The following is an 11,357-nucleotide window of genomic DNA, read 5'->3' as shown; positions in this document are numbered from 1 at the left end:
TGAATGGCTTTGACCAAAGTGCTGATAATGATATAGACAATGAAGTCCAGGCTGAGTTTGTCTCAGATGGAGATGAGAAACTTATTGGGAACTGGAGCTATGGTCACTCTTACTATGCTTTAGCAAAGAGACTGGTGGCATTTTGCATCTGCCCTAGAGATCTGCAGAACTTTGAACGTGTGAGTGAGAGAGATGATTTAGGGTATCTGGCAGAAGAAATTTCTAAGCAGAAAAGCATTCAAGATGTGACCTGGATTTTCCCGAAAGCATACATTTATATGCATTCACAAAAAGATTATTTGAAATCGGAACTTATATTTAAAAGGGAAGCAGAGTATAAAGGTTTGGAAAATTTGAAGCCTGACAATGTGATAGGGAAAAAAAATTTCTAGGGAGGAAATCAAGCCAGCTGCAGAAATTGGCCTAAGTAATGAGGAGCTGAATGTTAATATCCAAGAAAATGGGGAAAATGTCTTCAGGGTATGTCAGAGACATTCACAGCAGCCCCTGCTATCACAAGCCCAGAGGCCTAGGAAGGGAAAAATGGTTTCCTGGGCAAGGCCCAGGGGCTCGCTGCTTGTGCAGCCTCAGGACACGGTACCTGGCATCACAGCCTCTGTGGCTCCAGCCGGGGCTAAAAGGGGCCAAGATGCAGCTCAGACCATTGCTTCAGAAGGTATAAGCCCCAAACCTTGGAAGCTTCCATGCGGCATTGGGCCTGTGGGTGTGCAGAAGACAAGAGTGAGCTTTAGGAACCTCCTCCTAGATTTCAGAGGATGTATATGGAAACACCTGGATGTCCAGGCAGTGTCTGGAGGAAATGTGGGATTGGAGTCCCCACACAGAGTCCCCACTGGGGCACTGCCTAGGAGAACTGTGAGAGGAGGCCACCATTCATCACACTCCAGAATGGTTGTTCCATCAGCAGCTTGCACCATGCACCTGGAAAAGATGCAGGCACTCAACGCCAGCTGGTAAAAGTAGCCAAAGGGCTGTATTCTGTCGAACTGCAGGAGTGGAGCTACCCAAAGCCTTGGCAGCCCACCCCTTGCATCAGTGTGCCCTGAATGTGAGAAACGGAGTCAAAGGAGATCATTTTGTGCTTTAAAATTTAATAGCTGCCCTGTTGGATTTCAGACTTGTGTGGGGCCTATGGCCCCTTTGTTATTGGCCAACTTCCTCCTTTTGGAATGAGAACATTTACCAAATGCCTGTACCTCCATTACATCTTGGAAGTAACTACTTTGCTTTTGCTTTTACAGGCTCATAGACAAAAGGGATTTGAACCTGAACTTTGGACTTGAACCTTTGAGTTAATGCTAGAATGAGTTAAGAATTTGGGGAACCACTGGGAAGGCATGATTGGTTTTGAAATGTGAAAAGGACATAAGATTTGGGAGGAGCCAGGAGTGGAATGATGTGATTTGGCTGTGTCCCAACCCAAATCTCATCTTGACTTGTAATCCCCAGGTGTCAAGGGTGGGATTTGGTGGAAGATAATTGGATTATGATGGTGGTTTCCCCCATTCTTTTCTCATGATAGCAAGAGAGTTCTCATGAGATCTGGTTGTTTGATAAATGTCTGGAATTTCCCCTGATCTCTCTCTCTCTCTCCTGCTGCCAGGTAAGGTGTACCTTGCTTTCCTTTCATCTCCCGCCACAATTGTATGTTTCCTGAGGCTGCCCTAGCCATGTGGAACTGTGAGTCAATTAAACCTCTTTTCTCAATAAATGATCCAGTCTCAGGTAGTATCTTTATAATAAATTATCCAGTCTCAGGTAGTATCTTTATAGCAGTGTAAAACAGACTAATATAATTACTGATTCTTTCTTATTATCATCATTATCTAATGTTCTTCCTTGTCTTTTCTTTTACTATTTTTTGGTTCAAAGTCATTGTATCTCATATGAGAATGGCTATTCCTGCTCAATTTTGTTTTCCATTTGTGTGATATATCTTTTTCCACCCATTTACTTTGAGTCTGTACCTATATTAAAGCTAGATGTGTGTCTTGTAGGCAGCAGGTGGATGGTTTTATTATCCAATTCACCACTCTTTTTTGTGGGGCACTTAGGTCATTTATATTCAAGATTAATATTGATATTTGAGGTATTGTTTCTGTGATAGTGTTGTTAGATAATTACCTAGGGGTTTCAACTGTGTAATTGATTTCTAGGTGTAATTGATTCCAATTGTGTAATTGATTTATGTGACTGTTTATGATGGCAAGTGTCATCCTTTAGTTTCCATGTTTAGAATGCCTTTGAATATTCCTTGGCTGGCCAGTCTAGTGGTGATGAATTTCATTAGCATTTGTTTTTCTGGGAAAGCCTTTATCTCTCCTTAATTTGTGAAGCTTAGTTTGGCAGGATATGAAATTATTGGCTGGCATTGTTTTTTCTTTAATAAAACTAAAAATAGTCCCCCAGTCTTTTCTGGTTTCTGCTGCAAAGTCTACTGTTAGTCTGATGGGATTTCCTTTATCAGTGATTAGATGCTTCTCTCTTGCGGCTCTTAGTTTTTTCCTCTATGTGGACTCTGAACAGTCTAATGACTATATGCCTTGGTGAAGTTCTCACAATTTATCTTCCAGGAGTTCTATGAGCTTCTTGCATCTGAATGTCTAAATCTCTCTAAGGCTGTTGAAGTTTTCTTTAATTATTTCCTCAGATAGGTTTTACATACTTTTTATTTTTTCTTCATCTTTCTCTAAAATACTTATAACTCACAGCTTTGGACATTTTACATAACCCTGTATTTCTCAAAGGCTTTGTTCGTGTTTTCAATTCTTTATTTTTTACTTTTGTCTGACTGGGTTAATTTAAAAGACCTATATTCGAGTTCTAAAATTATTTCTTCCACTTGGTCTAGCCTGTTGTTAAAGCTTTCAACTGTATTTTGTAACTTCAATAAATTTTTCATTTTCAGAAGTTTTTTGTTTAAATTGTGTCTATTTCTTCTTTCATGTCCTGAATTGTTTTTATGATTTCTTTCTATTGGTATTGTTTTTTCTTGGATCTCATTGAGCTTCTTTAAAATCAATATTTTGAATTATTTATCTGGTATTTCAATGATTTCATTTTGGCTAGGATCTGTTGCTGTAGAGTTAGTGTTCCCCTTGGGTGGTGTTGTAATACTCCGGTTTTTAATACTTTGGGAGTTGTTTATCGGGTTCTTTTATCTGGATATATTATCTTTCCTTACTTTTTCAATTTTGCCATAATTTGGATGGGATTTTTCTCCCTTTGAGGAGGTGTCTATAATATATAATGTTTTGTAGTCCTTTTGGCTTTGGTTCTGGGTGTTTTCAGTGGCAAGAAATCTTTTTTTAAATTTTATTATACTTTAAGTTCTAGGGTACATGTGCACAACATGCAGCTTTGTTACATATGTATACATGTGCCATGTTGGTGTGCTGCACCCATTAACTCGTCATTTACATTAAGTATATCCCCTAATGCTATCCCTCCCCACTCCCCCCACCCCACAACAGGCCCTGGTGTGTGATGTTCCCCTTCCTGTGTCCAAGTGTTCTCATTGTTCAATTCCCACCTATGAGTGAGAATATGCGGTGTTTGGTTTTTTGTCCTTGCGATAGTTTGCTGAGAACGATGGTTTCCAGCTTCATCCATGTCCCTACAAAGGACATGAACTCATCCTTTTTTATGGCTGCATAGTATTCCATGGTGTATATGTGCCACATTTTCTAAATCCAGTCTATCATTGTTGGACATTTGGGTTGGTTCCAAGTCTTTGCTATTGTGAATAGTGCCATAATAAACATGTGTGCATGTGTCTTTATATCAGCATGATTTATAATCCTTTGGGTATATACCCAGTAATGGGATGGCTGGGTCAAATGGTATTTCTAGTTCTAGATCCTTGAGGAATTGTCACACTGTCTTCCACAATGGTTGAACAAGTTTACAGTCCCACCAACAGTGTAAAAGTGTTCCTATTTCTCCACATCCTCTCCAGCACCTGTTGTTTCCTGACTTTTTAATGATCGCCATTCAAACTGGTGTGAGATGGTAACTCATTGTGGTTTTGATTTGCATTTCTTTGATGGCCAGTGATGATGAGCATTTTTTCATGTGTCTGTTGGCTGTATAAATGTCTTCTTTTGAGAAGTGTCTGTTCATATCCTTCACCCACTTGTTGATGGGATCGTTTTTTTTTTTTTCCATGTAGTTGAACGGTTTTGAGTGAGTTTAGGCAAGAAATCTTTTTAAGTTCCATGGTTATATTTAGCCTTTGTATGGTGGCTTTCTCAACAGCTGGTTGTAGTATTGATGTGCTGGGCTTGTGAGCATACTCACTGCCTCCTGTGGGGTTGGGATGGTGGAGATCTCAGGAGGCTGATCTCATTCCCCAGTGTTTGGCGCTTGTATCAGATTTCCTCTTGTGTTGCACTATTCAACCTGTAGGTCAGAAGGTAGCACTCATGGGTAAGACCTGGCTATAGGTAATCTGGATGGGTATACACTTGATCTTTGTTTTTAGGGGAAGTTCTTTGTTGCCTCAGGTATTGCACTGATCTGTCGAATGCATCATTGTCTGAGCTCTCTTCTCAGTCCCAGAGGGAGGACCAAGATGGGTGAAGGTGAACAGGGCAGGCCTGCCTACAGTTTCCCTAATGGCAGACACAAGCACCAGTACCAAGTGGATGTGGTGAAATAGCCCCCAAGCACACAGAGTTGTGCCTAGGCATGGAGTTGGGAAACCTCTGCTGCCCTAAGTTCTCTGCATGGGGAGAGGGGGCAGCCTAAATTCCTAATCTAGAAGTGTTGATGCTCCAAATGCCTGGAGATATGTGTGGGCGTGGTTTAGAGAGCGTGCTGCCTGCCAAGATCTCTGCACAGGAAGCAAGAGGAGACTCAGGCACTTATCTAAGTGAACAACTAGTCCCTGGCAAGGAATGGAATAACCTCTAATGCAGCAATGTCTTTGCAGGAGAAGGAGAGACAGCTACTAATCCAGGCCAGCAGGTATTTTGATTGCCTGGAAATTGTTCCCTAGCAAGGAGTGGACCAGCTGGTGGTGAAACAAAAGCTTTGCAGGAACGTGAGGGCAGCTCAGGCAGCTAATCCCTACAAGGGACTACACCAAATGCCTATAAATATGCACAGGTGTGAAGTGGAGAGATCACCACTGCACCAAGATCTCTGCACAGGAAGGGTGGGATGACTCAAGCTACTAATCCAGGCAAGCAGGTACTCCAAATGCCTGGAGATGTCCCTGGGAATGAGTGGAGAGGGCTCCTCTGCCTCACAGTCTCTGCACAGGAAGGGTGGCAGCAGCTCAGGCTGCTAATCCAGGTGAGTGTATTCTCTGAATGCCCAGAGATATGCCTGGGCATGGAGCACAGTTAGCCCTGTTATACCACAGTCTCTGCACAGGAAGGATGGGGCCGCTCAGACTGCTAATCTAAGCAAGTGGGTGCTCTGAATGCCTGGAGAAATGCCTGGGTGTGGAGCAGAGAGGACTTCACTGCACCACAATCTCGGGGGCAGGCTGGGGCAACCAGCAGTGACAAACACAGACCAGTTCCAGGTTGCAAAACTTTCCTTGGCTGAATGTTTTGCCACCCAGGATAAACTGTGGTTTCAGCAACTCCCTACCACTTCAGTCTTGCACTGGGAGGCAACCCAATTCAAGCGCTTACTACTGGGGCACTTACCACATTCATCACTCAATTCTGCCTGTGGGAGTACTCCTCCTGCTCTAGAGCAAGTGCTTCCTCCAATCTCTGGCCTAACAGTAAAATGTCTGTGTGGCCATTCTACTGAGTCACCAAACAAAGACTGACTCTGTATATATTAGTCCATTCTGATGCCGCTATGAAGAAATACCGGAGACTGGGTAAATTAATAAAGGAAACACGTTTAACTGACTCACAGGTCCACATTGGGTGGGGAGGCCTCAGGAAACTTACAATCATGGCAGAAGTTATCTTTTTATGGGACAGCAGGAGAGAGAATGAAAGTAAGCAGGGGAAATGCCAGACATATATAAATGCATCAGATCTCATGAAACTCATTCGTTATCATGAAAACAGCATGGGGGAACCTCCCCAATGACCCAATTACCCCTACCTGTCCATTCCTTGATATGTGGGGACTACAATTCAAGAGGAGATTTGGGGTGGGGACACAGCCAAACCATATCACTGTATGAGCCAGAATTAAAAATGGTGTTCTGCTCTCAGTCCCAAATCTAGGAAAATTCCCACACTTCTGGATGTCTTTCCCTTTCAGCATCTCCTAGCCTCTCCTCAAGTTTCAAGAAATAAAGGGCTTTCAAGAAATAAAGGGCTTTCCCTTGGCCTGGGTTACATGTGTCCCTAGTGAGAAGATGAGTCATAAAGAAAGACTCTCTGCCTCTCTCATGTACAGTGGCTTTACTCACTTTTATCAGCCAAATGCCATCCCAGAGGCTGCTTGCCCACCTTCTCTCTGGGATCTGAAGTGTCTTTCACTATTCCAGTGAATTCACATTTTCATTCTTGAAATAAAGTTCATAGAAATGAAATAAAGTTCATACAGTTTCACTATTTCCAAGTGGCTGAGGGATGCTAAAAGCCTCTAATCCACCATCTTGGGGAAAAAAAAGAAAAACTGAATCTCTCATAAAGAGATAAAAGCTTTTATTTAAATGATGGCTGAGATATCATAATTTATTTTATTTTTTTCTTAGACTACTTAAATGTCTTTAAATTCCTCTTATAATTCTGTGATGATTCAAGTAACTTACTGACATAGTTGAACATATTTACGATAGTCATTTTAGAACCAGCTACTTTCACTGTCTTACGTAGAATGTATTAATTTGCTAGAGCTGCCATAACAAAATGCCAGACTGGGCAGCTTAAATAATAAATTTATTTCTCACATTTGTGGAAGGTGGAAGCTCAAGATCAAGGTGCCAGCAAGTTTGCTTTCCTCCAAGGGCCTTCCTTGGCTTGCAGGTGGCCATTTCTGTGACGTGTCCTCAGATGATCTTTTCTATGTGTTCATGCATTTCTGATATCTCTTTGTGTGTCCTTATCTCCTTCCTTTTTTTATAAGGACACCAGTTATATTAGATTAGGGCCCACCCTAATGACCTCATTTTAACTTAATTTTCTCTCTCTCTTTTTTTATTTTTATTTTTATTATTAATTTTTTAAGACAGAGTCTTACTCTGTCGCCCAGGCTAGAGTGCACTGGCATGATCTCAGCAACCTCCACCTTTTGGGTTCAAGTGATTCTTGGTCCTTAGCCTCCCAATTAGCTGGGATTACAGGTATGTACCATCACCTCCAGCAAATTTTTTGTATTTTTATTAGAGACAGGGTTTCACCATGTTGCCCAGGCTGGTCTCAAATTTCTGGCCTCAAGTGATCCACCTGCCTTGGCCTCTCAAAATGCTGGGATTACAGGCATGAACCACTGCACCCGGACATTAATTTTTTTCTTTAAAAGTGCTACCTCCAAATACAGTGACATTCTGAGGAAATGGGTGTTAGGGCTTCAACATATAAATTTTGGGGAGACACGATTCACCTAATAAATAGAGCCATATATTTTTAATATCTAGTAATAACAATTGTAGTGTTTTTCAAAATATTTCTTGAACTACTTTTTCAAATAATAAAATACTGGGTATGTAAAGGCATTCTGCAATTTTATTTTTATTTATTTTTCTTTTTGAGACAGAGTCTAATTTTGTCACCCAGTTCGGAGAGCAGTGGTGTGATCCAAGCTCACTGCAGCCTCAAATTCGTGGGCTGAAAGAATCCTCCCATGTTAGCCTCCCAAGTAGCTAGGACTACAGGCATGCACCACCATGCCCAGCTAATATTTTAATTTTTCTCTTTTGTAGAGATGGGGTCTTTCTAGGTTGCCCAGTCTGCATTCCACAATTTTAAAGGGAAATGACTGCATATAGCAATAGGGTCAAACTGCAACACCATTACACAAGCACAATTTTCATCAAATTTTTAATTACAGCAAAAGCTGGGAGTTTTTTTGCAGGTTTTTATCTTTATTGACTAATCATGTTTATTTTCTCTGAAATGTCTGTTCACACACTTTGTGCTTTTTTATTTTTTTTTTTACTACATTGATTTTATTCACATTGAGTTTTATGTATCTTTATACTAATTTTGTCATTTCCCCACTGTATGTCAAAATTAGTTCACTGTAGGTTTGTGGATATAATTCTGGGTTCTCTAGTCTGTTCCACTGGTCTATGTGTCTGCTTTTATGCCAGTATCATGATGTTTTTGTTACCATAGCTCTGTAGTATAATTTGAAGTCAGGGAATGTGATTCCTCCAGTTTCATTTATTTATTTATTTTGCTTAAGATGGCTTTGGTTATTTTGGGTCTCTTGTAGTTCATACATACTTTAGGATTTTTTTTTCTATTTATGTGAAGAATATTAATGGTATTTTGATGGGGACTGCATTGAATCTGTGGATTGCTTTGGGTAGCATGGACATTTTAACAATATTTATTCTCCCAATTCTTAAACATGGAATGTCTTTCCATTTTTTGATGTCCTCTTCAATTTTTTTATCAGTGTTTTATAGTTTTTATTATAGAGATTTTTCACTTATTTTGTTAATTCCTAGATATTTAATTTTATGTGTGGCCATTATAAATGTTATTACTTTTGAATTTCTTTTTCATATTGTTCGCTGTTAGCATACAGAAATTCTACTTGTATTTCAATGTTTATTTTGTATCCTGTGACTTTACTGAATTTATTTATCAGTTCTAATAGCTTTCTTGTGGAGTCTTTAGCTTTTTCCAAACAAAACATTATATCATTTGCAAACAAGGATATTTGACTTCCTCATTTCCAGTTTGTATGTCCTTTATATCTTTCTCTTTTCTGATTGCTCTAGCTAGGACTTCCAGTACTATGTTGAATTAAGAGCAATGAAATAAAATGGCAAAACATTCGCACAGTAGTGGACTCTTACTATGGTACTTTTAATGAACAGAATTTCTTAATTTTTTCCAGCTTTTTTGAGGTATAATTGAAAACTAAAATTATATGTATTTAGAGTGTACAATGTGATGTTTTAATGTATGTATACATTGTGAAACGATTATCAGAATCAAGTTAATTAACACATGCATCACCTCACATTGTTATCAGTTTTGTGTATGTGAAGTGAGAACATTTAAGTTTTACTCTCTTAGCAAATTTCAAGTATACAATACAGTACTATTAACTATAGTCACTATGTTGTACATTAGATTTCTAGCAAAACTTCTTAATTTAATATAATCAAATTTAACAATATTTTATGTTAAGATTTACTTCATGTGTTTTAAGAAAGCTTTATCTTTTAAACATTTTTTAAAATTTGCCTTTCATCTTTAAATCTTTTTTCCACCTGAATTAGATTTTTATATCACATGAAGTACTGAACAATATCATTTTTACATATAACCCATAACTATTTCTTGAAGAGCTCCTTATTTTCTCATTCATCTGCAGACCCACTTTCCTTATATGCTTCCTCATATAGAAATACATACCTGTGTTTTTGTCTTTTCTAACTATTACATTACATTCCTTTTATTGTGTTGATCCCTGAAAAGAACACCACATTGCATCAATTATTCCAGCTAGTTGTTGAAGCAAATCCTTCAAACTTATTCTTATTTTCTAAAGTCTTATTAAGTCTTGAGCTTCTCTTTTTTAAGTTTAGAATAAAGTTGTAATATCATGTCTTTTGCAGGGACATAAATGGAGCTGTAGGTTATTATCCTTAGTAAACTAACACAGAAACAGAAAACCAAATGCTGCATGTTCTCACTTACAAGTAGGAGCTACGTGATGAGAACACATAAACACTTAGAGGGGAGCAAAACACACTGCGGCCTTTTGGAGGGTGGAGGATAGAGGGTACGAGGAGAGAGAAGATATGGAAAAATAACGAATGGGTACTAGGCTTAATACACCACTGATGAAACAATCTGTAAAACAAATCCCCATTGCACAGGTTTACCTAAGTAATAAACCTGCATTTATACCCCAAACTTAAATAAAAATTAAAATAAATTAAATACATAAATAAATTTACTCACAAGTTTCACAAAGTGAAAAAAAACAACATTAAAAACACTGGGGAGGAGCCAAGATGGCCGAATAGGAACAGCTCCGGTCTACAGCTCCCAGCGTGAGCGACGCAGAAGACGGGTGATTTCTGCATTTCCATCTGAGGTACCGGGTTCATCTCACTAGAGAGTGCCAGACAGTGGGCACAGGTCAGTGGGTGCGCACACCGTGCGCGAGCCGAAGCTGGGTGAGGCATTGCCTCACTCGGGAAGCGCAAGGGGTCAGGGAGTTCCCTTTCTGAGTCAAAGAAAGGGGTGACAGACGGCACCTGGAAAATCGGGTCACTCCCACCTGAATACTGCGCTTTTCCGACAGGCTTAAAAAAAGGCGCACCACGAGATTATATCCCGCACCTGGCTCGGAGGGTCCTACGCCCACGGAGTCTTGCTGATTGCTAGCACAGCAGTCTGAGATCAACCTGCAAGGCGGCAGCGAGGCTGGGGGAGGGGCGCCCGCCATTGCCCAGGCTTGCTTAGGTAAACAAAGCAGCCAGGAGGCTCCAACTGGGTGGAGCCCACCACAGCTCAAGGAGGCCTGCCTGCCTCTGTAGGCTCCACCTCTGGGGGCAGGGCACAGACAAACAAAAAGACAGCAGTAACCTCTGCAGACTTAAATGTCCCTGTCTGACAGCTTTGAAGAGAGCAGTGGTTCTCCCAGTACCCAACTGGAGATCTGAGAACGGGCAGACTGCCTCCTCAAGTGGGTCCCTGACTCCTGACCCCCGAGCAGCCTAACTGGGAGGCACCCCCCAGCAGGGGCACACTGACACCTCACATGGCAGGGTACTCCAACAGACCTGCAGCTGAGGGTCCTGTCTGTTAGAAGGAAAACTAACAAACAGGACATCCACACCAAAAACCCATCTGTACATCACCATCATCGAAGACCAAAAGTAGATAAAACCACAAAGATGGGGAAAAAACAGAACAGAAAAACTGGAAACTAAAAAGCAGAGCGCCTCTCCTCCTCCAAAGGAATGCAGTTCCTCACCAGCAACGGAACAAAGCTGGACGGAGAACGACTTTGACTAGCTGAGAGCAGAAGGCTTCAGACGACCAAATTACTCTGAGCTACCGGAGGACATTCAAACCAAAGGCAAAGAAGTTGAAAACTTTGAAAAAAATTTAGAAGAATGTACAACTTGAATAACCAATACAGAGAAGTGCTTAAAGGAGCTGATGGAGCTGAAAACCAAGGCTCGAGAACTACGTGAAGAATGCAGAAGCCTCAGGAGCCGA

The 11,357-nt window shown here is 40.6% G+C and overlaps 1 annotated feature.

Annotated features, from left to right (window-relative positions):
* Nucleotides 10,428-11,015: an enhancer, noted in NCBI's record as "H3K27ac-H3K4me1 hESC enhancer chr7:112902892-112903479 (GRCh37/hg19 assembly coordinates)". NCBI's record gives its function as "activates a minimal SCP1, AML or CMV promoter by ChIP-STARR-seq in naive H9 embryonic stem cells {active_cell/tissue: H9 hESC(naive)}" and the evidence as "EXISTENCE:reporter gene assay evidence [ECO:0000049][PMID:30033119]".

This window comes from Homo sapiens, chromosome 7, assembly GCF_000001405.40.
Source record: "Homo sapiens chromosome 7, GRCh38.p14 Primary Assembly".
Lineage (NCBI taxonomy): Eukaryota > Metazoa > Chordata > Mammalia > Primates > Hominidae > Homo > Homo sapiens.
Note: the sequence above shows the minus strand (reverse complement) of the source record. Positions and strands in the feature narration are given on the sequence as shown.